This window comes from Homo sapiens, chromosome 7, assembly GCF_000001405.40.
Source record: "Homo sapiens chromosome 7, GRCh38.p14 Primary Assembly".
Taxonomy (NCBI): Eukaryota; Metazoa; Chordata; class Mammalia; order Primates; family Hominidae; genus Homo; species Homo sapiens.
This window is the reverse complement of record NC_000007.14, coordinates 104,776,736-104,804,395: the sequence shown is the minus strand read 5'-3', so window position 1 is coordinate 104,804,395 and position 27,660 is coordinate 104,776,736. Positions and strand designations below refer to the sequence as shown.

At 42.6% G+C, this 27,660-nt stretch overlaps 1 protein-coding gene and 1 long non-coding RNA gene across 4 annotated transcripts in view; one reads left to right on the top strand and one right to left on the bottom strand.

Annotated features, from left to right (window-relative positions):
• The window catches only part of LHFPL3 (LHFPL tetraspan subfamily member 3), a 579,959-nt gene that overhangs the window by 104,166 nt on the left and 448,133 nt on the right, over positions 1-27,660 (bottom strand). The window lies entirely within an intron of this gene.
• Positions 304-7,890, top strand: LHFPL3-AS1 (LHFPL3 antisense RNA 1). Of its 2 annotated transcripts, NR_034141.1 has the most exons (4): positions 304-440; positions 1,433-1,557; positions 4,327-4,578; positions 7,447-7,890. It is a non-coding gene; the product is annotated as an LHFPL3 antisense RNA 1 (long non-coding RNA). The 2 variants fall into 2 exon arrangements; NR_034142.1 differs by lacking the exon at positions 7,447-7,890 and having other exon boundaries at positions 4,327-5,398.

The following is a 27,660-nucleotide window of genomic DNA, read 5'->3' as shown; positions in this document are numbered from 1 at the left end:
GTGATGGCAGACATCCATTGTTTTTTCTGGTTGCTATCCATTCCTCCTTCTGGTAATTATACCTAGATTTTCCTTTGACGAATAGCCCCCTCCACCATTTCAACAATGTTTCTGGCAGTCTCAGCCCCAGATGTCGAAAAGTGACTTAAGCTGGCGAATCAGCATATCACATGTCTGGGTTCACAGTGGTGAGTTTACAGATGCACATGTGACCCAACAAGAGCCAATGAAGAGCAAGGAAACTTTCTTGGGAATCCTGGAAAGATATGCTCTATTTTTCAGGTTGACTTAAAACTAGAGAGGATCTAGGAACTGGAGCTGCTGCCTCTGTCTGCTAAGATGTGAAGTCCAAGACTGAAAGTAACATAGCAGAAGGAGAACCAAAAGATATGTTGAGTCTTGATGCTATTTGTTGAACCAGTCCTGAATCCAGCTGTGTCGTAAGTGAATTATTCCTAACATGATGACAGAAGCCTGACATTAATTTATCAAGGCATGCTGAAGAATATTTGATTATTGGATATAGTGCAATACCAAAACTATGTAAATAATAGGCACATCTGGTTCGTGTAATTTAAGAGGGGTAAAGGTAGGGAATATTCCCTAGACAAGTTCATTCATCAGCAAATATATATTTTGCCCTTATTACATGTTAGGTCCAAGGGCTATTACATATAGTTGGGCAGTTTGTGCACTGCACAAATGTACCTACTCAGGAGGGTAAGGGAACTGAAACCAAGTCTTCCTTATATTTGCCAAACATTTGCCCTGGTGTGGGAGTGGTTTCATCCCAGGAGAGAGTGATGTTTATAACTTGCTAACTGGCCAGTTGTTCCTCTGCTAAGCTGAGTAGGATGGAAGGAGTGAGCATGGTAGAAAGATGTGGCTACAAAGAGGAACACACATGTGGTTCTTGCCCTTTAGGAGTTTAATTCAAGTATGGGGTTAGTTATGCAAACTGAAGATCATGATAAAATGTCGTAAAGGCTAATAACGATTTTGGAACATATGGTTATGGCCTTGGAACTATAAATTGAGGAGCATGGTCCACAGACTTTTATCTTTCTAATGCGTGAATAGAATAGAATATTTGAAACTGGTACTTGTGGCTTTCTGGTTGCCATAGGCATGTATATAGTGTAAAGGGAACAAAAGGGTTCTTGACAAATTTGACTTGGGGAGTGAAAGGAATTAGAGAGGATGTCAAAGAAGTGGTATGTTGGATCTGGATCTTGAAGGTAAATAGCAAGTGCAAAGATTAGTGAAGTGAAAGCACTTGGTCCATTATAGGAATGGTAAATAACTGCTATGGCTTGAACTTGGAATGTGTGAGAGAGGGCAGAGGATATGTAAGATTGAGGTTAGAGCAGGAGTAGATTAGGAAGAGGCTTCTGGGACAAGCTTTGGAGTTTCAATATCCCTTTATTCACAGGGAGTCAGCGCAGCTTTTGAAGCTGGAGAGCATCATATTTTAGAAAGATCAAGCAATGTGGATGAGGACACATTAAAAAGAGAAGACCGAGAGGAGGGGACACCACTCAGGCTTATAACCTCCAGGTAAGAGATGACCAGTGTGAATCTTGGCATTGGCATTGGGGTTGGAAAGGATGGAACTTAGATGTGAGACAGCTCACAGATACAGTCTACAGGCTGGTCTACTGTTAGATGGGTGTTGTCTTATTCTACTTGGGTTCTATACCAGAATATCTTAGCCTGGGTAACTGATAAACAACAGAAATTTATTTCTTACAATTTTAGAGCCTGGGAAGTCCAAGATCAAAGTGCTAGCAGATTCAGTGCCTGTTCCTATAGCTAGTACCTTCTCTCTGTCCTCACATGGTGGAAGGGGAGGGAAGCTGCCTTCCCTTGCTCTCTCTCTCTTTTTTTTTTTTTTTTTTTTTTTTGAGATAGGGTTGGCTCTCTTGCCCAGGCTGGAACACTGGCACTATCATAGCTCATTGTAGCCTTGAACTTCCAGGTTCAAGCAATCCTCCCACCTCAGCCCCCACCAGTATCTGGGATTACAGGTGGGTGTCACCATGCTCAGCTGATTTTGTACTTTTTGTAGAGGCAGGGTTTCACCATGTTGCCCAGTCTGGTCTCAAACATCTGAGCTCAAGTGATTTGCCCACCTCACCCTCCCAAAGTGCTGGGAATACAGGTGTGAGCCAGTGTGCCTGGCCCAACATCTTTTATAAGGGCACTAATTCCATTCATGAGGACAGAGCACTCATGGTTTAATCACCTCCTATATTCTATCACATTGGGGATTAAGTTCCAACATATGAATTTTGGGGAAACACCAAAAATTTTGGGGAGACAGCAACATAGCAGGGGTAGAGAAAGAGGTAGGGAAGAAAGGTTAACAGTGATGCTTTTGTGCAATAGTGTCAAAAACGTCTCACTACAGCACAAATTGTGAAAAAAATAGCATTTTTCTTGTTTACTACTTAGTTAATGGTCTTTGATAGCTCTTAACCCAATGGTAAGAGAGAAAGAAACATAAAGTGAAAAAACAAAAAACTTGGCCGGGCATGGTGGCTGACATCTGTAATCCCAGCACTTTGGGAGGCTGAAGTGGGCGGATCATGAGGTCAGGAGATTGAGACTATTCCAGCTAACACGGTGAAACCCCGTCTCTACTAAAAATACAAAAAATTAGCTGGGTGTGGTGGCACGTGCCTGTAGTCCCAACTACTTGGGAGGCTGAGACAGAAGAATTCCTTGAACCCAAGAGGCAGAGGTTGCAGTGAGCAGAGATCGCGCCACTGCACTCCAGTCTGGGCAATAGACCGAGACTCCATCTCAAAAACAAAAACAAAAACAAAACAAAACAAACAAACATACAAAAACAAAAAAACAACAAAAAACTTTGGTGCTAACTAGAGAAATATCAGTCTCTTCCAAGTTAAAATAGTTCCTTTCAGGTTAACACCACTTTCCTGGTTACATTCAGGCTTTCAGGGTCTTTTCTTTTTACCCTGCCCACGAATCCCCCTGACCCCCTTGTATGGGTGCAGAGCAAAGCTTATCTGTCATCACCGTGATGGGAAGGGCCTTTCCAGGTCTTGGCTGGTCCTATTGTGAGAGCCCTGGCTGAGCTGGGCTGGTCCCTGGGCCTGGGGGCTTTGTGCTAGTGTCCCTGTTATGCTCGGTCATGCTTGGTCCTTGGGGTCACCTGTTGCTTCTGTGCACCATTTCAGCCATATCCTTCCAGTTCAAAGTCTTTGCATTCTTCAGTTTCTGTGTCCAGATCTTAAGTCTCTTCTAGACTATGGCTGTTCTTAGAACCTCTCTGTTCCCCCTTGGGATAAGCAGGAACTTCTGGAATCCCTGCATACATTGGTCAGCCCTTGGGAAACTGGAAACATATTCTTAGTCCCATATGCCTGATCACCTCCCTCATTTTTTCTAATCTGTAGCTCAAGTGCCAGATGAATGTGGAATTCTCTGTGAGGCTGGTAGCCTCATAAAGGGAAGCCGGGCCAAGGTCCTGTCTATTTTGGGGTCCTCAGGAGCTTATCTGGATCTTTTATTGCACTTTGCCTCCTGTTTCTTCTTTAGTTTTTGGCTCTGGAGTTGAGGGTGTGTGTAGGAACTCTATCTCAACTCCTGCGCCAACTTTTCCAGCTCCTCCTTTCAACACTATCTGCCTGGCTAGCAAGGAAAGGAGCTGGGTCACTAAGAAATACTCAAAGAGGTGGTTGGGTGGGTGGGTAGATGATGGTAGGAGGTGGCAAACGTTTGGGTGGGGATCTAAAGGGACAGTTAATTCAGTCTAGACAGGTTGACTTTGAGGTATCTAAGTATTCCAAGACATCCTGCATTTGACAGTTGGGAGAAAGAGGGTTTGGAGATCAAGAGGGATTGTGGCCAGAGTTACTGGTTGTGGGTGTTTGAGACAATGGGAATGGATAAGTTTAAGGAAGGCACGTAGGAAGAGGAAAGTGGGCAAGAGCAGTTAGAGGAAGGAGAGCTGGAAGAAATGTAGGTTAGGAGTGTTTGGAGAGGTAGGAGGAGAAAACGGAGATCGCACTTACTCTCCAGAGTGAAGCCTGAGCTCTAGTCATATACAGATCCCACAGACCTTGGAGAGCTTCTTGCAAGGCTCAGCTCACAAAACCTCACTTAAAAAACAATTCTCTGAAGTTCATCTTGCCGTTCAAATAAGAGAGAAATATATTAGGCAAGCTGAGATGTAAACTGAATTATTGATGCGGTAGCTTTTTAAAGGGAAGGCAACATTAGCCTTAGGTTTAAGGACATCTTTGGTTTAGGGACAGCAAATCCTACCATGACCTACCTTTGTAACATTTTAAATTTCAGCTCACATTTCAGCACCAAAGGACCAAAGCCTAGACCTGAGATCTGGCACTTGCAAAAAGAAAGATCACCTGGAAGAACAAAATAGAAGACTCCTGCTCCCAATAGGCTTGGGTCAGGAAGAAGGCTGTTGGCATAATTGTGGAGTAGGAAGATGGAAAACAACTCCTAGAGATCCCAACAGCTGAACGCGTGCTTGGGCAGTGGCTGCGGGTGAAGTCATGGGAAGGCAAGTCATGAAGGGCATTAATCAAGGTAAAAGCAAAAGGAAAATGAGGTTCTTCAGGGCACAGTGTGTGGGAAGCAACAGCATGATGGAATCATTAGGAGAGATGCCCATGACTCCTGCGCCCAGCAGGAGTTGTTTCTGCAGGGGTCCCTGCTTCCATCTCCTAAGTTGCAGGCAGAGAGGGCAGAAGCCAGGATCATCAATACCCAAGAGGGAGCATCGAAGAGTGCATGCTTCCTCTACTATGTCGTGATATAGATGGAGGCCAGGATTTGGGAGCTTTGGAACACATCTCTCCCAGGCCTGATTGTTAGGAGAGGACTTAGGCAAGGTGTGGGCAATGCTGGTGCTTCACCTTTCCTTGTTGACCAGACAGACCCAGAAGGGTCATTTGTCAAAACAAAGAAAATCTCTTCCAGGGGTGAGGCAGGTGTGGCTGCCTGTATGTGAATGTGCTGCACACCTTTCCCATCAGCAGGTGTCTGAGACCCTACTCTCCTCCTGACTTTGTTGGCCCGAGCATCAGCCTGTGAGGTCCAGCACCCAGAGCCCAAATCTTCTGGCTCCTAGGCTGGCACACAACCTAACAACAATTCCTGTGCCTTCATATTTTCATCTCTGCAAGGAGGATAGTAGAAATAGCTCTCAAGTAGGGAATGATGACTGCATTTGAGAACAGGGCAAAAATAAAATCTGAAAATTGAACATCTTGTCACTAGGCAGTTGTAACACATTTTGAAGATTATGAGCTAATCAAAATTACACAGGTATTCTGCTCTGGAAATGCTCAACAACCGGACAGGATGTTTTTGAATGCGGTAATAAAAATTATCTCTAGGAGCAAAACCTACTGAATCTTAAACATTCCCGCCAGAGAAGGAACACTCTCCAAGTCCTCCTCAGTTTACACCAAAGAATTCCACATAATTCATTTCTGTTGTGGTAGTTAGTAAAACCTTACGATATACACAGGTCAGAGCCAATCCAAAAAAACAGAAGCAAAAACATGAGGTAGTTTTAAAAATGTTCTTTAAAGAAGATGTAGATGAATATATGGAAGAGGTATTATAGCTATTATTTACTAAAAAAATGTGAAGCTTTTCTACTTTAATTTCTTTTGAGAACTAGGCTTTCAAAAAAAAAATCGTGAGACTTTCTAGCACCTATCTTTCTTGTTATTAGGATGACTTACATTACATTGTATTTTTACACTTTAAAAAATATTGTCATTTAGAAAAAAGGCAACTAATTATAAGGTGAAATGATACCAACTTATAATTTTTTTGTAGACTATACAACAGAGCAATAAACATTGCATAGGTGTAGTTCTATACGCATTTCAATTAGTGATAACTTTCCCATTTCAAAACTATTTCAAAAACTAAAATATATTTTAATAAATGTGATGCTTAAAATTTTTGTTTTCTACTTTTTAGGTTATTTTTTCCACAGATGAATTTCTAATCCTAAATAATCATTTACATGAATTCAGATTTTTTTGATCCAGGTAACTTTTTTCTCCACATTTCTTGAGTAATTTATTTAACTTAAAATACTTAACAGAATGTAGATTCTTTTTTATTTCTTATATGCCAGGCATGTGTCTAGATTATTTAAGAGACAAATTACGAATAATCTTTTTCTTTTGTTTCTCTTGAGGAGAAGATATGTAAGTGGTGGCTCTGTTTGGTGGGAACTCTTAGGAAAACTGCTTGTTTCTAGTTCTAGGACATACTTGCGCACCTTGGCCTGCCATGCCTAACTGGGGTCATAAGCCATGTGACACTGGTGTCCACCTCACATAGTGCCGCCCCCCCCACTGCCACCCCACCTAGGACTAGATGCCAAATGCTGACATCAGCTGCTGCCGTGACGTTATTGATAGTTTGTTGTTGTTGTTGTTGTTTGGTTTGTTTTTGTTTGTTTTTGAGACAGGGTCTCACTCTGTCACCCAGGCTGGAGTGCAGTGGCACCATCTCAGCCTACTGCAACCTCTACCTCCTGGGCTCAAGCAATCCTTTTGCCTTAGCACCCCAAGTAGCTGAGACTACAGGCACATGCCACTATGCCCAGCTAATTTTTTTTTTTTTTTGTAGAGATGGGGTTTCACCATTGGTACCCAGGCTGGTCTCTAACTCTTGAGCTCAAGTGATCCACCTGCCTCAGCCTCCCAAAGTGCTGGGATTACAGGTGTGAGCCACCACACCTAGCCTATGTTGTCTATAGTTTTATCAAGGACAGACTAAGGTATATTGGAATTAAAAAAAAAGTAGATTTTAACCATGAAGGTTTATTTCTTGCTCATCTCCATCATGGGCTGACTGGGGGCTCTGCTCCATGCTCCTCATTTGGGGATGTATACAGAAGGAGCAGCTACCACCTGAGCTGCTCTGCATTAATTAGTCTCTAATGCAGAACTAAAGATAGCTAAGGAGGCCTCATTTGGCCATTAAAGTTTCTAGCCTGATGGTGACATGTGCCACTTCTGCTCACTACTCATTGACTGCAACAAGTCTCACAGCCCCACCCAGCCACTAAGAGCCAGGAGGTACAATCCTATCATGTGCCAGGAAGGTGGGAATTCAGAAATGCTGGGTGAACAGCATTAGTGATGATCACAGTGGCCCATGCAGTGTGCATCTCCTCTTTCTTTTTCCTAGGAGATTGCTGACTTTGGTTAGTTTTCTATCTCTCCTCCATGCTGACCATTAATTTAGGCAAAGCTAATCCCATTTTCTGACACCAGGAGTGGACTTTGATGCACTTAAGCCAAACAAAATAATACAAACTAACTGTGATTGTTTCAGGAAAGAAGACGAGATACAATTCAGGCTAATGAGATGCCATGCAAGGTTTGCAGAAGCTTTTGGGAAACTTTCTTTTCATTTTTTTAGGATATGTTCTGGGAGTAACTCCCCTGCTTTCCCTGGATGTGTGCGAGAAAGCATAGGCATCCACTTTCTGACCAACAGGAGACCCAGTCTCAGGATGGAGCAGACACCATGCATGGTAGAGCAGAGAGACAGATACAACCTAGGTCCTTGATGAAATGATTGGCCACTGGATCAGCCACAGTTAAAGACTGCCTACCTTTGGACTTCTGGTTATCTTAGGCCAAAAATGTCCTTTTTGTTTAAGGCACTTTGAGCCGGGTTTTCTAAGACCTAGCAGTCTCAACCATCCAAACTAATAAGCTGAATTAACTAGATTTCCTGTCATGTCCTTCCTGCCTGATTGGTAGCCCTTGACTCCAATTTGGCCTCATTTTCCGTACCTTACTGGCTGCCTTTTCCTCTACTCATAGGTCACTTGGAAATAAAATATAGATTTACTTCAAACTCCCACTATCACATGCATTTCTTTTCTTACTGACTTCACGGCCTTCAAATACGGCCTCATAATCATTTACTCTCTGTTAGGTTCCTCCAATGACTTGGATCACTCCTAGCCTGTCTTGATTGGCCACCTCCACACTAATGCCAAAAAGGATGCCAGTTCTCGATATCTCTGCTTCTTAAAAAACATGTCCTTTGTCTTGCTAAATTGTGTCTTCCCTACACAATGGTTGAAAACAAACCAGCCCCCCGGTCACACACTCTAAAATACAAAAGGTCAGTGAAGCAGTCCTCCACTGTGTCAGTGCACATGCTGTCACCAGGAGCGTTGTGACTTCAGGACCTGCTTCCTCGAGCCCTAACTTGGGGCTGCACTATTGAGGCCTCAGCAAGCTGATTTAAAGCTGCTATTGAAAAATCCCATCACATCCCATACGTGAGCTGAAGAGTGACAGTGGAGACAATTTCTACAGCACTTGTTACAGCAAAAGGCAGAAGCCCCGGCACTGGGGTGGGCAGGGGTGGGCTTTTAGATCCATATTTCAATGGGTATATTTTAGGTGAATTCTAATAGGAACGAAGTTAACACACTTTGTATGTCTCCCATCCTGGCTCATTTGCTGCCTAAATGTAAGAAGCTATGCCAAAGTAACTTACTCAAGTAGTTTGGGGGAAGTCAGGGACAAGGCAAAGCTATGAGTAATCTAGGAAAAGGAAATATTCTAGGGGCTGTTTGGAGCTAGAGGGAGTGGTGTTATTGATGTGACTGGACATGTGGAGTTTAAATTGGCCTTTTCTGAATTATTAAGAGTTTCTGATTTATACCACAGAAGACCTGAACTTTTTAGATTTACTGTCCTTGTATCCAACAGGGATGATTCCAGAGAGATTTCTGGCAGGTTCTACAAAAATATTCTGAGACTGACAGTTGCTTTGGGGAATAAAAAGACAACGTGTGTCTGCTTCTTTCAGCCCCTCTTCCTTCTCTCTGGCTCATTTTTTCAAGTCATGCAAAGCTTTCCCTAATACAATTGAGGCATACAAACTGTTAGAAGAATCGCTGTCTTAATGAACATCATTTAAGGAAGAGGGGAAGAAAGAAAGAGGCGAGGGACGGGGAGAGAGAACAGAAGCCTGTTATCTTGCTGGTTTGGCTTCCTCTCATCCAGAAGGCTGACTTTCCGGCAATGGGAAGGAGGATGGGTCAAATTATGGTAATTAGGATCTTGTGTGGCAGCTCGTGATGTGCATTTCCTTCATTTCATTGTTTCTCTTCATGTTTGCTGGAAGACCAAATAATACACTTCTATGTTTGTGCCAAAGGATTATTCTTGGGATTCAGAAGACGAATGGCCATCAGAGAGCATGTCTGGCCCATCTTTCCGGAAAGGTTTTCAGTGGGATGAGGCAGGTGGCTTAGTAGAATCAGGTGACTTGTTTCTAGGGGACTTTAGACGCTTTAGAAGAAAATAAAAAGGTTTTAAGAACTTCTCTGTGGATCTGTTATCCAGGTGCTAACCACCTAGTTGGATTATTATTATTTTTCCTTCTTCCTGCTACACATATTTTGTCTTCCAAGAGGCTCAAGTTGTAGGAAAAGCACATAGGGAGATAAGTATAGCTCATTTTCTTATCCAAAGGAGGTTGCAGTAATTTCTCCTATTAGAACAGCAAATTCCCTCCAACCCAGACCTTGGTCTTTTCCCATCCATTGTGTGACGTGATTGGCAACTTCTAAGTGACGACACAGAGGCTGATTCTTTCTAACTGCCAATCAGTCACGGTGCAGGTCACCTTTAAATTCACTTTATATTAAACAAGAAAAGAAAGGAACTGCTTGAAACACTGAACTGCTTGATTAGATGGAAATTCTTGTAGCCTATTTTAATGGAACCATAATTTCCAGCAGCTATTTTTGAGAAGAAACTATTAAAGAAACATTGGCTCTTGAATTTAATGTGATCGCACACATCACTAGCTGTGTGATGAACATCTGCTTTTAAAGTAGGGCTCACACTGACAGCCACCGTAATTCTACTTCTTTGCTATCAACATCAGCCCTGTGGTTCCAGTTATTCAACACCATTCCCCATGTGGCAAATTTATATAGCTTTCAGTTCATGCCTTTTCTGGGAAGGCCTGTGGCAACTTTGCCCATGTTTTGATTGTTCTTTGAGTCACAAATAGCAGGAATACCAACGCTATGCATTCATCATGTGCCAATGATGACAGCACCAAGAAGTTTCAGGTCTGGGGTCCTCTGGTCCACTATCTCATTTTGTGAAAGAAACTAGGGTTCAAGTGACCTCCTCAAAATTTGTTGGCTATTTAGAGCAGATTTGTTAAGAGAATGCAGAGGCTTTTTACTGTGTTTTATTGAAGTGTAATGTGTAGTATTATACTTCTATAGTATATAAGAAAAAGTGTGCCGATCATACGTGTATGTTCAGTGAATTCACAAAGTGGGAACATCTGTCTTGCCAGCACCCAGCTCAAGAAACAGCTCCAGTTCCTTTATGCTCCCTTCCCATCCACACCGAGCCTCTCTAAGAGTGATTCCATCTTGACTTCTAACACCTTAGACTAATGTTGCTTGTGTTTAAACGTTATATTAATGGGTCTAAAAATCCCTAAACCAGTTCGCTTTCCACTACCACAGTTTCTTTGGGCACCACCTTCTCCTATGGGAGATACCACAAGAGTTCGAGTTTCAAAAATGAGACTGGGAAGGAAAACCACATTCAATTTTGACATCAGATTTTCATCATAATCAAGTTGGCAGCTCTATAATCTTCCATAGTTAGAGACAAGGCTACTAGAGTTAAGTTGCTAAAAAACCAAACCAAAACAAACCCAGCTCTTGTCTGGTCAGCTGTCAGTGCAGGTCCAGCTGGTTGCTGCTCGGTCACTCTAATGACTGTGAGTGTTAGTTCAAACCATTCTTTAGAAAAATGTGTTACCTTTTTGTGGCTGCTATTGATTTTTACCCTGACATATTATTATTCTTGACAATATTGCTTTTTTACCACTGACATCTTAGTAAACCCAGAGTCAGAAATATCACTGGACTGCTTTTAAAATTTCTTCACAATGAAAAACCAGCTTTCTACATCTTATTTCCTGTAACGCAAAGCTAGCCTTTCTGTTTGCCTGCTTTCATGTTGATTTAAACACTTGGTTTTCTGTTACAAATATTTCCCACCTCTCCTCTGTTTTTCCCCTCTTTTGTCCAGGAGGTGATGTAAATGTACATGCTTTATTAACCACCCAGTTGCGCAAGGATGTTCTGACTGCATCTTAGAAATGCTAGCAGGGCCAGGCGCGGTGGCTCACGCCTGTAATCCCATCACTTTGGGAGGCCGAGGTGGGCAGATCACCTGAGGTCAGGAGTTTGAGAACAGCCTAGCCAACAAGGTGGAACCCCGTCTCTACCAAAAATACAAAAATTAGCTGGGTGTGGTGGCAGGTGCCTGTAATCCCAGCTACTCAAGAGGCTCAGGCAGGAGAATCACTTGAAACTGGGAGGTAGAGGTTGCAGTGAGCCAAGATCATGCCATTGCACTCCAGCCTGGGCGACAAGAGCTAGACTCCATCTCAAAAAACAAAAAAAATGCTAGCAAATAGCAGGATCCGATGCAGACTGATGGTCAGCTCACAGGAAACATCAGATTTCCATCTTTTGGTCACACATCCTTCTTTGCACAGTCAGATACTTCCCAAAGCAGTTTTTTTATGTACTGAAAGAAAGATAAGTAGATGCAGAATTGAGTTTACCAGCTATCCAAACTCAGCATATTTGTGGATCATCTCATTTTTCTGCTCTATAAGTTACCGAATATGAGAAAACCAGAATATATCCTCCCTGTCTGGTAAGTGAAGGGGGTAAAGTTATAGTAGCAAAAACAAGGTACAGGAACAAAGTGCTTGTGGGAGCTCTCCAGGAAACATTATATACAGCCTCGTACTCTCTTACCCAGAGGCAGCAGTCTCGAGGAACTGTAAGAGCCAATAGTGAAAAAGCTATTTAGTCATGGATGGTACCATGTCAAGGTGAACTAAAATAAGTAGCCATGACGGAGATAATTAATTCATCTGTAATAGAGTCTGGACTCACGGAGAATTCTAGCAGTTTTTGGATTAAATTGGGTGAGACACTTGCTATGGCTTCCAGGCCAGAAGCTGGCCAGAAAGGAGTTTGCTTGGAATTTTTGTTTTTATTTTTATTGGCTGTCAACATTCTAGCTAACGAGGAGGCTACAGGCACACACTTCTATTCATTTTCCCTCCCAAGACGGCTTCCTGAGTGTCTCTATCCATTGGATGCTTGTAGGGAGCAAGCCTTTGCCTTTGTGGGGTGAGGGAAAGGAGAGAAAGTGGGAAAGAAAGCAGGGATGACACTGCTAGGAAATCTCTGTACCTTTGATTTCGAATGAGAATGTGATGCTTTTCTTTCATCACCAGTATTGAAACCTTGCTGTTTTGAACTTCTTAAAGATCCAATATCTCTCCATAACCTTATGGAGAGACTGGGAGTAGGGAAGCTCCTTCAGGCAAACTCTCAGATCCCTGAGAGCATGCTATCCCAAGAACAAAAAGCCTGAAATCATCCTGCAGCCACAAGTAAAGACCTCTTAAATGCTGACTGTCAGCGGCAGTTGTCCTAGTTTGACAGGCCAGGTGAACCAAGACATAGTCATCTTGGAATCTAAGAATACAAAGACCCTGCACCCCTGGGGGAACAATATTTTCAATCAGGAAATGTATCCCTTAGTTTCCCTGAAAATCCGAATCTCTCCTGTTCTTTGATCTGTGGAAATGGAAATAGCTCAAAGAAGTTGAGATTCCCAAGTATGGCCAGGCAACCGGCAGTTCCAGCTGGTTCTGGGAGATCTTCCACAAATTTTAGTCGTTAACATTGTTTTTCTAGATACAGAAAAGCACTATTTTTCTAGATCCATTGCTTCCAAAGATCCAGAAAAACAGATGGGTGGGAAGACCCCTGAACTACAGTGATCATGTGATGTGGTTAGAGGCTAAAAATATCAAGAAGTCTGTGATGCAAAAGGAGAATGGGCATCTAAGTAGGGGACCAATAATCTCAGCCCAAGAATGTAAGGCTGCCAGGAATCCTTTCTCTATGCTTAACTCCATGATTAATTAAACTCTTTTAAATTATGCCAGAATTAACCCTGTCAATAGAAATGTTGCCCACAGGCTTTGTTCTCAGCCTTTTGAATTTCCCTTTGTCCTTTTGTGTTTGTTTTATGAGCAATCAGAAAGTACTCCTGAAGCCAAGGAAGTCTGAGCCAGTGACAACCCCTCCTCCCCACAGTCCAGAACACACAATGGTGATAACTTGGTTACTGGAGAGGAATCAGCTCAGAAAAACAGTTCCAATTATACCAACAAGAAGCTCAAAGGAAAAGAGGGCAGGTTATAGAAATAATACTAGAATATTAACCATAGAAAAACAATGTTAAAGACTAAAGTTTGTGGAAGATCTCCCAGAAAGTTCAAGATGCTCTATCTGTGCTTTTCATTTAGGTCAACCATGTGGAGAAAGACCAAATGACTTAATAATACAACCGTACATTTGAATAGTATTTCATAGACACAGATGACTTTTGCTTGTCCTGTCTTATTTGATGTCCTTACTTGAACCTGGGAAGCAGGTATATAAGGTATTCATTTGTATGCAAGGAAAATGGGGCTTGAAAATGTTATGTGACTTGCCCAAGGTAAAAAATGACGAGGATTCTGGTCTTCTGACAACTGGTTGGATATGAATTTCACTGCACTAGAATGTCCATCTTTCCTGCTTAACATATTTCAGGAGGGTGAATTCTAGACGATGGGCTTGGCATCCTGACATAAATCAGATAGCAATTAAGATGACTAATGGTCTGCTTTAGGAACCATGAGTTTCAAAAGGAAAACAGGATACAATGTTGTACCTAGGTGGTTTATACTCTGGTTGGGGAAAGTGGTCCTAAAATAAAGAATAAACAAGACACTGCCAAACTGGATGGTACCAAAAAAAAGTGCAAGCAAATTCCAGAAAGGAGACATACGTATGGCCAGGCAAAGGTTTTCAGACAGGAGATAGGACCTAGGTGAACTGCACATTGTAGACAAGCAGGCTCTGTCTATGGGAGAGCAGCAGGGTGCATGAATCCTCCCTGGGGAGTGAAAAAGGCAACTCTAGAAACCTCTTGATTTTAGCAGGTATAAGGAGATTTTGGAATTTTTGGGGAAAATTGCCTTGGGTGGTAAACAGAAGGTCAGGCTATGAGGACCCCCATCCCTTAAAGCTTTAATATCAATTTCAACGCTTGGAATTGCATTTGGAAGCAACCAGGTAGCTAGGCTAGAGTGCAGAGCCCTGGTGAATAAACACAGTCCATCTGGTTTACACTATTCAGCAAGGTGACTTCATTGGCTTTTTTCTTATCATGCAAGACAGTTTTGAATACAGAAACCTAGCAGGATAAATCAGGAAATTCGGAAACCCAGAGACAGATTTGCTTGGCTGGCATATTCTACAATACATAATGTTAATTTAGTGCCCTCATTGTATAGTAGATGGAAAAAACCGCTAGAAAAAATTAGGGCTCATAATCAGTCTCAATATTGACAAGAGTCTTGTTAAAGGGATCACTCTTCATTAAGATGTGTGTGGGAGGAATTCTCTTGAAGGGCATCTAAGTCAACCACAGCTTCCTGAACTCAGGGCTGATAATATTAATGATCAGTGCTGGAGACTTAACAATGGAGGGAAAAACATAGTTTATGAATGGATGGCTACATTATGTAATTTTTCTCTGCTTTTCTACCTCTTTAAGCTGTGCAAATCCACATTAAGATACATACAAATGTAGTGTAAAATTGGGGGGAGGGGGTGTGGGAGTCACTGACACTCGAAAATAGGAGCCAAAATTTCTTACTCCTAGTAGGCTGGGTAAAGGGACAGAAAGCTGGAGTCTATGCTGTTAATCTTAATTTTGTTTTCTGCATAGTGGCTTTCCATGAAGATAGCTGAAGACTGATTGGAACATGGAAAAGCCCAGAAATCCAATCCAGTTAAAAATGACCCCTTAACATTTCTCTGAACCCCAAGAGTCTCTTGGAGTTAAGAGTCGTTCTAACTCACTTATTTCCTGAACTCTGTCCCCAAGACTGAGTTAGGTTCTCTTCTTATACTCACCAAGAACACCATGTACTTATCAAGCTATAGTTAGAGTGTATGTGTCTGTGTGCGAAAGAGGGAGAGAAAGAGAACATTTAAACAGTTCAGGCTGGCTATTGGTCTTCCTTCCCATTTATGGAAGATGAGCTATTGGTAAGCATGTGAGGAGCTGTGAATTCCACACTTCTCTCAATCCTCAGTTCCCCTGTGTTTTCCATAGCATGAGCATCTTGCTGTATTGTGTGTTTTGGAGTTTAAAGAAACACATTTTTTAAAAAAGCATAGTCCACAAATACAAGAATGATGCTCTACCAAGAAGCAGCAATTGCTTCCATCATCAGTGGAAAGATAGGCTTGCTGTGTTGGACTTAGGGAAATGGTGGTGCCTTCTTAAAGAGATTTTCAAGGGTAACTTCTGCTATATATTTTGCCTTGCCTACTGACTTTAGACCACAACTCTTGTTTAAATGCAGTCTTGTTGAGGAGTGAGAGAGGGAACGAGTGAAGGAGAAAAGAAAGACTGAAGAAGTGACCAGTTTGATTTAGATAACTCTCCTTAACGCTCAGGAAAATATATCCTTGCTCGCAAACGGTTACATGCTCCAATTGTTGATGTAGCATTTTTTAGACTCCAGCAATTCTCACAGCTTTCACATGAGGAAGTCAGGGAGAAGACAGCTTTGTTCTCATTAAAAAAACAAGAAAGTCATGGTACCAACTGGCTTTAGTCAGTGAGAAAGCATTACACCTGGAATTCCAGACTCAGTCTATCTTCTCACATGTATAATTTAAGCATGAAATAGGCCACTACATACTTTTCCAACAGTGTGAGGGCAAAAGTAACAGAAAAGTTTCTTATAGTCTTTTTGGAAGAAGCTCTACAATAGATTGAATAGATAAAGTGTGAAATGGTGTGTGAAGACTGTGCTAAGTTAACAGAGGAGTCAGTCTGAGAGGCTGTCGCTGGCAGGACTCAGGAGGGAGCATCTCTGATGCCTTCTGGAAAACACCATCTTGAAGAGCCATTTCAGATCCCTGGATACACGTGTGCTGAGCTTCCTACTAGTTAGGCTGCAGGTGATTCTGTTCTGTTTATTAGACTATAAATTAGTTGACCTACATCATGTGTCAGAGATTATAAGAACAGAACCAGGAAATCAGCTGAGAGTACTCCTCATAAAGAAATTATGTTTTCCCCCACGCGTGAGCAGAAATAAATGGTTTCTATTCTTCCTACGGCACCACATAGTTTATAAAAGAACCACTAGGGATAGGTTGTGATGCACAGGGTTTAAAAATTCAACGAGAAAGAACTCGACAAAGATAACTGCTATACACTGAATGTTTGTGTCTCTCCAAGCCCCTTTAATTCATTTGTTGAAAACCTAACCCCCAACATGACGGTATTAGGGGGTGGGCCTTGGGAGGTGATTAAGTCATAAGGGTGGAGCCCCCATGAATGGGATTAGTGTTCTTATAAAGGAGACACCAAGCACTGGCTCTCACCTGTAATCCCAGCACTCTGGGAGGCTAAGGCAGGAGGAACCCAGGAGTTTGATACCAGCCTGGCAACACAGGAAGACCCTATCACATACACACACAAAAATAGCCAGGTATGGTGGCGTGCACCTGTACTCCCAGCTACTCAGGAGACTGAGGTGGGAAGATTGCTTGAGCCCAAGAGCTCAAGGCTGCAGTGAACTGTGATTGTGCCACTGCACTCCAGCTTGGGTTACAAAGCAAGACCTTGTCACAAAAAAGAGATTTTCGTTATCTCTCTGGTCCTTATGCTATGTGAGGATGCAAGGAGAAGAATGCCATCTATGGAAGCAGGCCTTCCTCAGACACCATATCTGTTGGTGCCTTAATCTTGGACTTCCCAGCTTGCAGAACTGTGAGAAATAAGTTTCTGTTGTTTATAAGCCACTCAGTGTATGGTGTTCTGTTACAGGCGCCTGAAGAAAGACAATAACCACCCCAAACCTATTGTTTTCATGCTTTCTATTGTTTGAGGCCACATTACTGTACTGGGAATGAGCTAACATTAATTTTCGGCCTCACAGCTTCTATATTTCCACAAATCATCTAAATGATACTGAAAGCAATTGCAAGACTTTCCTATACTTGAAGGACAGAGTGCATAAGCTGAATAACATGGGGCTTCAGTAATGATGCTGAATTTTTCTGAGAGGTTCTCAATGCAACTATGAGAACAGTCCCTTTTAGAAATGGAAGGATATTTACCCCAATGCCCAGTACTGAAAATATCTAAAAACAAGAAAACAGAACAAAACATAAAAGTAAGTGGCTTGCAATAGCAAAGATGTACTATAATAATTTCAGATTGCAACTAGGCCTACTTATACAGAGGGCACAATAGAAGGATTTTCTAGAATTGTCGGTTCTTAACAATGCTGGGCTTTTATTAAGTATATCACTATGTTATTTTAAAAGTTAATTTTTTAGTAATGAAATTGCATTCATGTGATTTTGGTAATTAAACTTGTGTAATTAGAACAAATGAGCAGAATTAGATTGCACTAGCCATATGTAACAACATTATTGGGTATATAAATCTTTTTTTCAAGTTTTATATAGCACGTACACACACACACACACACACACACACACACCCCACACACACACAGTAGTAGTCTTATTTGACAGGACCAGGAACTTTCATCTTAGTGTGTTTAGAATGGCACCTATTATTTCAATCCATCTTACTCCTCTGCCTACAGGGAATTATACCGGTGGCACTAGAGATGTAAATGAGATCTGTTAGTGAGCAGTGAGAATGCATGGGTAAGTAGCAGATTGAGAAAGTTGATTCTATGGTAACAATACCTTCAATTTATTAAACATTACATTATAATAGATATAGGGTTAATCACTTTATATATCACCTCATCCAAAGTTTGACAGTGCTATGAGGTAGGTGGTATTCTTATTCTCCTTTGACAGATGAGGAAGCTGAGCAAGTAGCTCCTGACCATTATGCTAGTTTGATAAAATTAAAGATTATAATTCTAAATATTGCCACAGACTCCACTCTCTGCTTTTTCATCTTTCCAAGCGGGTCGCTGAATTTTATATAGACATTTCAGTCTTTAACCAGTGGCTAAGCTGGTTGGACCACTGTGCTGATGAGGGAATTTTTTAAAGATGAAATGGTTTGCATCATAGCTGTGTGGCTCCTTGGTAAGTGTTTATTCCTTGTTCATGAGGCACCAGTTGCTTCTAGGAAGGGAAGGTTGGGAATAGTGGACGGTCTTTCCACACAGAGGGTCTGACATGGACACAGTGTACATGGAGGTACAGAAGGGCATTGTGCAGAGGGCAAGTGTGTTTGCAATTTGGCAAATTTGGGGGTTCAGGGAAGAAGGACTGGTGGAACCAATGGGGGCCAGAATAGAGGAGATTTGTAGGCCCTATCAATGCTTGTGGAATTAACCCTGTAGGAGATAGGGGCCTATGATGGTACCAGTGTGGTCAAGGTTTGAGCAGTAAAGCTGCATAATGAAATTTTCCCTTCAGAAAGAAAAATCTGACACTAGTGTGGAGAATGAACTTCTTGGACGAGCAAACAGAGGTGAGGAGAAAGCAGTTGAGAAATCATGAGGACTTGGGAGGGAGGGAAGTGGCCAGAGCCTCAAGACATTTCTAGGTTAAGATCCACAGGGTTTGGACAGCCAGTGAAAGCAGGTTGGGAGAATACTTAGGGCAATATTAACCAAGATCAAGAGGAGAAGCCTTTTTATTCCCATTGGAGAACTTAAGTAAATTAAATTTTGGACATGTTGAATTTGAGGGACCTATGGGACAGTCAGCTGGAGGTGTTCAGAAAGTAGTTGGAAATATGGCTCTTGAAGCTTCGAGTTGGGTTGGGGCTAGAGTTCTAGATATTCACTTACTTAGCAGAGGTTTATTGAGTGCCTACTAAGCTCTAGGCTCTATTCTGGAGACCGGAAGTAGAGCAGTGAACGACAGTCAACTGCACCTATGGAGATGGCTGGCAAAGCTGGAGAAGTGGCTGAAGTCCTTGGGAGTGTGAAGAGGGGATGGCCAAGGATGGAGCCCTGAGGAATCTCAACAACCAAAGGGTAGGTGAGAGAAGAGGGGGAGGGAATGAAGGGGACTAAGACAGAGTGGCAAGGGAGACAGGAACACACACTATTAGAAGAAAGAAAGGGAGGGAAGCAGGTCCACTTTTTTAAAAAAATTAAGAAATATTTTTGAATGATGATAAAAATCACATAGCCTAAAATTTACCATCTTAATCATTTTTAAGTATATACTTCCACAGCATTAATTATATTCACATTGCTGTGCAATGGATTTCCAGAACTTTTTCATCTTGTAAAACTGAAACTCTAGACCTGTTAAGCAATGGCTCCCCACTTCCCCTTCCCTGCCCTTGACAATCATCATTCTACTTTCTACTTCCATGAGTTTGACAACTTTAGATCCCTCACATAAGTGGGATCTTATGGGGCTTGTCTTTTTGTGACTGGCTTATTTCACATAGCACAATATTCTCAAGATTCTTCCATGTGGCAGCCTATGACATGAAAGTCATATGACATTTTGTTTATTCATTCATCTGTCAATGGACATTTAGGTTGCTTCTACCTCCTGGCTATTGTGAATATAATGCTGCAGTGAACATGGATGTACAAATATCTCTTTGAGATCTAGCTTTGAATTCTTTTGGATATGTATCCACAAGTGGGATTGCTGGATTACATGGTATTTCTGTTTTTAATTTTTTGAGGAATTGCTGTGCTGTTTTTCATAGTCTACTTGGTTTTTGACATCATTTTCTAATTCTGTCTGGAAAGAATAGAAATAATAACTATTTGGCATATTAGCTGTGTGCTGAGCAGAGTATGTGCATTATTTTATTTAATCCTCAAAACAACATTCTGAAGAGGTATTATTACCACATTTTGCAGGCGAGGTCCAGAAATGTTAAGTAGGCCACACTGCTGGTTGGGATCTGGGACTTGAATTCAGTTCTTTCCTGGTTTTCAGATGTAGCTGTTTTGATGTTTTGTTTCTGTTGAGAAGAGCTCATTTCCCCAAGTTCCCAAGTAATTTATGAAATGTTTTTCATAATTTGGAGAGTATTTTGTAAATCAACAAGGTTACATTTAAAGATTGAGAGTCAGTGATTATACTACCACTCTTTGGCAATTCCAGCCCCAAATTCTTAAATAGTCATAGCTCTCTATGCAGAAAATAGAAGCAGTTCATTCTTACACATCACCAGCAGCACTCTGGGTTGGCACTACATTGAGCCTCTCATCCTCAGCTTGGTGTCTGCATTGTATCCAGTTGCTGTTATTGTGCAGAATTAATGAATAGTTTGCAAACTAGCGTCACTTCTGTGAAAGTTGATGGACATGTTAATTACACCTTATTTAGATTTCACAGTTGCATGACCCAGATTCTTCTTTTCTACAAAATTTCCAAAGGTTTAGTGGCATTTTAGAAACTCCAGTAAACATAGCATACTAAAATACAAGCAATGGAGGAACTGGTTGGGCAGAAATGGGAAGATGATGAGCTTGGTTTATCTGACTTCAGGGCTAGAGTCAGGTAGTTTATTTTCAGGGATTTAGGTAGATTCAACAGTGTATATCTTTGGGGTTTTATTACAGTCTTTTGTAGTTAGGTATCCTGTACCTCCTCAGAATCTCCTTTCTATTATGCAAGCATGAAAGCATTTATTTGAAGCCTGATCCAACTGCTGATTACAAATATCGTCGGTGCATTACATTTCTTGTTTTTGGCGTTTGCAGTCTACCTCTCTAGAAGATTGTGATGTACACGTGGATTTGAATCTTGGCTTCAAAATTTCTTATTGAACTACTAACATGACAGGCATTATGTAGATGCTGGGGATTCAGCAGTCAACACGATACAGTCCCTGACTGTGGGAACTAAGAGAGAGCCCACTGGGGTTAAATAAGTATGTAGGCATTTGTACTATACTGTGAGAAGGGTTATGGTCAGGATAAGGATGGGGAACTGTGGAAACACACAGGAGCAGTCCCTATTCCTTGTTGGGTAAAGAGTTAAGTTAAAGAAAGCTTCCTGGAGGAAATGCTGTTTAAGCCAGTGATTCTGACTTCAATGTGCACCAGAAGCACCTTGTGGGGTTGTTAAAATATTGATTTCTGGTTCCCACATCTAGCATTTCTGATTCCCTAGTCTGAAGTTGGGCCTGAGGATTTGCATTTCGAGTTAAGTTCCCAGTTGATGCTGATGCCTGTTCTGGGATTGCACAAGTGATTTGAGAACCATTTCTTTAAGCCAAGATCTTAAGGAGGGATAAAAGAAGGCAATGTATGTGTGCATGTGTGTGTGTGCGCGCGTGCGCACTTGTGTTCATCCACAGGAAGTGGGAAATGGGGGTTGCTGCATAGAAGCTTACTGCAAAGGGAACGGAATGTACAAAGGCTTGGAGATAAGTGAAAGCATGGCATGCTTGTGGACATCAATATTGTAGAGTGTAGCGTATAAGAAAGATGTGGTGAGAGGTGAAGGTGGAGGTATCAGCAAGGGACAAATCACAAAGGACCTAGTTGGCTATGCTAAGGAGTTTTGGCTTCCCCCTAAAGGCAATGGGAAGCTGTTAAAGTGGTTCAGTCAGAAGAGTGATGTGCTATGATGTGATATGCATTACAGAAAGGTTGTTCTGGCTTCACTGTGGATAATGGAATGCACACACATGGGAGCAGGAGACCAGTTAGGAAGGCATTGCAGTAAGCCAGGAGAAAGATGGTGACCATGACGAAAGTGTCTTTTTGTTGAAGAGAAGAAGGTTGTTGAAGAGAAGAAGGTTGTTGCAGAGGATAAATTCTTGGTCCCTTCCTCCCACTCAGAGTTGGGGTCTATATTTACTACCCTTGAATCCGGATGAGCTTATGAATAGTTGATCAATGGAATAAGGCGGAAGTAATGATGTGTCAGATTGCAGGTTCAGCCTCTAAGAGACTGCTAGCTTCTTTTCCTTTCTCTTGGAGCACTTGTTCTTCAATTGCTAAACTGCATTGTGAGAAGATTGACAACTTTGCTGAAGAGACCATGTGGAGAAGTCCTGAGGCTGCATGGAAAGGAACGGAATCCCAATTTTCTGGTTACCACTACCAAGGTGCTAGGCATGTGAGTGAAGCCATCTTAGAACCTCCAGCCCAGCCCAGTCATTAGCTGAATACCATGCATGATGCCATGTGGAGCTGAAGAATTGCCCTGCGGAGCCCTGCCTGAATTCCTGGTCCATGATATTATAAGCGTGATAGAACGGTTGCTGTTTTAGGTAATTAAGTTTTGGGGTAGTTTGCTGTATGATAATAGATAACTGGAACAATTTTCAGTAATAAAGTCACAAAGAACATGAATATTTAAGTGGCAGACAGAGGAAGCAAGGCCTTCAAAGCAAAATAAGTAGTAAGGAGGAAAACAAGGAGAGTGTGGTGTCATGGAAGCCAAAAGAAAGGAGTACTTCAAGTAGGAAGGAGTGGTTATCAATGTCAAATTCTGCTGAAAAGTAGAAAAGTATAGGGACTGAACAGTATCCTTTCGATTTAATGCCACAGATGTCACTGGTGACATTGAAGAAAGTCTGATAAGTTCAGAAGATGGTTTGCAATGAGAAGGTAGAGGCGGAAGGAGAAAGTAACTATGTCAAGGAGCTTCATGATGAAGAAAGAGGGTAGATGCAGGTTGAGAAAAGGTTTTTATTTTACAGTTAGTAGATGCGCAAATTTCAGTGATGTTGGGAAAAATACAAAATGCAGGAGAGGGTGAAGAGAGGCACTGGGCAAATAGATACAGTAAGTATTCTGCAGAAAGCAGAGGGGATGTCCCAGTGTGCAAGCAGAGGAATTTGGCTGACACAGAAGGAGGGACCCCTCTTCCACTGTGACAGGAGAGATGGGAAAAATGATGAGATAGAGGAAGATAAATATGTAAATGTGTAGCAGCCATAAGGTGATGGGCTACTTTATCTGATGGTGCTTATTTCTCCTGTGAAGTAGGAAACAAGGTTGTGCACTGACTGGTTGGGGAGTTGTTGAGATAGGACATTTAGGAGAAGAAAAAAGACCTGAAATAGCCACTGGGTGGGACAGTAGGGGACCAAGCAGAGAAACAAAGAAAATTTGTATCCTTGGGAATGGTACCTATTTCTGTGGTTACGTGAATTTTTTTTTCCCTCTGATATTCCTTAACAGTCCAGGTGTAGACTCAAAGAGGACAGAGAGTTGGATTAACCTGGGGTTGGCATCCTGATGGACTTCAACAAGGCACATGGCAAAGGAGTTGAGGATGTTGGCAAAGAACGGGTTGAAGTGAGGGCACACTGGTCAGAAATCGAGTGATGACAAGGGAAGAAAGTCAAGTCTGAGGGATCAAGGTCTTGATCAGGTTGAAGGACAGAGAATGGATATCCAGTTTTGGTTTTTCAGAGGTGGTAAGTAACTGCAGAGTCTGGGGTCTGCAGGATGTGGCTTGCGTGGAGAAGAAGGCATTGAAATTGAGAAAATCAAAGAACTGAGAGGTTTCATTCATGTGGATGGTCACTGATGTGGACAAAAGAGGTGTCTGAAAAGGTGGCAGGGCTTGAGAGTAGAGGCAGACTGTGGACCAGCTGTCAAAGTGTTTAGAAAGTGAGCAAGGGTGGGCGGTTGTAAGTGACAGTGGTGAGGAGAGGCTGTGAGAGAGGTAGCCTGGTGACACGAATCTCAAAGAATCTTTTCCCCCCTTGTCTGTTTTTGAGGTGCCAGGGTGCCAGGATATGCTCTGGAAGCAGCACTAGAGACCAAGAAGTATACTGTCACCGGTGCCTTACAAAGCTGTGGGAGAAGGAGCTGCGTCCTCTGGGCAGGGCTAGAGAAGTGGGGTCTTCAGGGCAGGTTTGGATTTTAGTTAAGGGAAAGAGGCAGAGAGAAAGTTTAGGGAGGAGGTGAGGACTTACGGGGATATGCTTACCAAAGAATGGAGGTGTCAGGGACTTGCTGGCAGCGGGAGTGGGAATCCTGTCGGGGTCTCTGCTCTGGCTCCCTTTCTTTCAAGGCTTCTTCGTTCCTGGGAAGCTTCTGCACTAGACCTCACTCACAAGTGGGAAGTGGCCACTGGTATGTGGGGTGGGGCCCTATCCTTGTGGATGAGGGAGCTCTGCCTGTAGACAAAACCACATCTGTACAGATCTGCACAAGAGGAGGGGCCACTGGGGGCCAAGGGCTGGTGTTAACAAGCTTGTGGATGAAGGGAGTTCCTCCTGGTTGCCTTTTGTAAATGATTGTCTCTCTGGTCACATACTTGTAAAATTCAAACTTCCTTCCCTCACTTACAGGCACATTACAAGCCATCACATAGATTAAAGTTTAGCTAAAAAAAAAACCCCACTAATTTATATTGTTTAGAAGAGTTCCAGCTAGGGGCTTTAGCCATGAAACTGCTCCGGCGACGGAGTCTTGCAGATCAACCACAGCTCTGATAAGAAGACTATGGATTATGGTCGAGTCAGACCTGCATCTCCATCAAGTTCTATCATGTTCTATCAAGTTTGGCAGTGGCCAGCGCATATCAGTGCTGAATCAGTGTTCATGGACAAAGGAAGAAAGCAAGGAAACAAACACTAGAGATCAGAAGTCCAGGAGCTTGATCTCCCACAACCTTGTGCAGAGGTCACTCATCCAGAATCTGTTGACTATCAGAACGGCTGAGTCGCATGGAGTTCAGATCCTGTGCCTGGTGCAGGGAGAGGGGAAACACACCAGCCACAGACTTGACCACTCCAGAGATCTAACCAAGAGGCATCCTGGGCGTCACAGACTCCCATGGAAGGAATAATTGTCTTGATTCCCAAGTGGAATTAAAACCCTTCACTCTGTGTTTCTCCAGTTATCCAAACTATATTTTGGTTATGAAACATACAAAAATAAATAAGTCATTTCCCTGCCCTCAGGAGCTTGAAGTCTAGTGAAAGAGACAGACAAATGAATACTCAATGATGAGAGTGATTATGTTATGGGATGCTTCCTGTGCATCACACACTGCTGACATGCTTTACACCTATGACCTGCCTAATCCTCATAACCACCCTATGAGGTGAGTACTATTATTAATCCCGTTCAATAGATAAAGAAACTAAGGCATAGAGATCATACAGCTATTAAGTGTGGCAGGGGCAAGTCTTGCAGGTAGTCAGTCAGGCTGCAGGGGTGTGCTCTGCATCATGAAGCCACCTGTGATTATAATACATGTGATAATGGCTATTGAAAGCTTATGTCCAGGGAGAAAAGAGGCAACGATGAGATCCTAAAGAGTATGTATGGCATTTGAATTCAGTTTTGAAGAATAATAATGGCTCCCATTTATTTAGCCAGGCATTATGGCAAGTACGCCACATAAAATAATTCTGTTTAACTGAACCCTTCTGACATCTCTCTGACATTAGCTCTGTTATCATTATCTCCATTTTAGAGAAGAGGATGCCGAAACACAGAATGGTTGCTGACTATGACAGTGTGTAAGTGTTGCAGCCTGGATTTTAACTGAGGCAGCCTGGTCCAGAGCTGGGGCACCCACCTGCTGCACTGCAAGGGCCTCTGCCCAACAGTTCCACGGGCGGAGAAGTGGTAGATGATAGTGCGAGGGGAAAGTGAGCCCTAAGTAGGAGGCTGGCCTAAGTAGGAGGAGTTGTGTTTGGGAGATACAGTGGATGTTAGTGGGCTCAGGAAGTTCCTGCAGGTACACATGGTTGCTGGAAAACTGGAGAAACACAGAGTGAAGGGTTTTAATTCCACTTGGGAACCAAGATAATCATTCCTTCCATGGGAATCTGGGGAGCTCAGGACGCCTCTTGGGTAAGTCTCTGGAGTGGTCAAATCTGTGGCTGGTGTGTTCCTGCACTAGGCACAGGATCTGAACTCCATGTGACTCAGCCATTCTGATAGTCAACTGATTCTGGATGAGTGAGACCAAGGTGGGTAGGGTCACCGCCTCTGCACAAGGTTGTGGGAGATCAAGCTCCCGCACAGCAGGAATGGGTATTAATCGACTCAAGGAGGTTAGGGACCATTGAGAGCCCACAGCAATGACAAATCTAAATCGCACTCAATCTTCTGGTTTCTAAAAGCATATGAAAGATATGATGAGAAGGATTTGGGACTTAGGATCTCCCTGGTCATAGCACCTATAGGTCCACCCTTTTAGGACCTGGGTCTACTTCTTCTTCTTCCAAAGCAGGGCTCTTGTTCCAGGATGCTGAGCCCAGATTGTCATGGAAGGAGCTTAGGTGAGCACTGTTTGGGGAAGGAGAACAAGTTCAATACATCCCAGATGTCTCTCTTAGACATAAAATCTTGCACAGGCCAATAAGAAACTGGTGAAGTAAGGCTGCCTAAATGACTTACTTAAGTTACAAGAGATCCCCACACTCCTTTTTCATGTCACTTGGAGGAATTTCTCAAAAGGACATGGTTCCTGCTGTGTTTCCATTCAAACTCTTATCTTCAGGTGAGTCACTCAGAAAGGGAACGAAGGGAAAAAAAAAAAAGAAGTTCATCAATGGCAACTGAACCGAGCATTGTACAGCCAGAGAGGACAGTGAAATGGTCTCCACAGTTTTCTTCAGAGTAATTAAGACAAATGATATTCTCTGTAGTGCTGGCAATCAGGCACTGGGGATTTCTGGGAAGGTTGCCTTTGGGGATTTGCATCAGGCCAAGGGAATTCTAACTGCAAAGGGAAATAAGAAACTGCAGACATAGCAACCAAAAGGCATCCTTAGGAATAGCCCTGTGGCTCCTTAGTCCAATCAGACTCTGGGCTGACAGCATTGCCTGAGAGCTGGGTACCCTAGCAGCATCAGGGTCAGAGCTGGTGGGGCCACAGCGGGGCATCTCCCAGATGACTTCAGGGCTTATTAATATTCCCTGGTAACTTCTTGAACCCTGTTTTCTAGGAGCCCTGGGAAGTAAAACAACAAGCACTTAAGCACAATGGCTCAAACCTATCACAGAATGTGCAGGGACCCATCAAAAACCATACTGGAAACACTGCCCTTTGAGAAGTTGTTGGAAGAATAGGATCATAATATTTCCAAATTTCAAGGCAGAAAATGAAGACAAGAGAGATGACTTCTTTCTCCCAAGGCCACATATTAATCTCCAAGGCCACATAATAATCTATGGGCTATACTTTTGCTCCCTGCATCTCTTTCCTGTGTTCCAGGCATCTTGAGGCTCCCAGAGGTCATGACACTTACTTAGAGCCAGATAGGACTGTGCCCTCCAGATGACACTGGACCATCTTGCTCCTTTTGAGTGAGCTGGTCTCAGGAGAGAGTTTACTAAATTGAGCCCCATTTTAGTTCTCAAGTGAGGCTTTTTGCAGTTGAATCAAGGGTGAAGGGTTTTCAGCCACAAGTAGGTATGTTTGCTCCTCTGTTGTAAAAGCCCATGATTGTTTTTTACAATGTAGAGTTTGTTACCCAACAAGTACAGTAGCCCAGCCCTGCAATCTGAATCCTCACATCCTGCGTGTTGTAAAATAGGAAACCAAATACAGGGGAA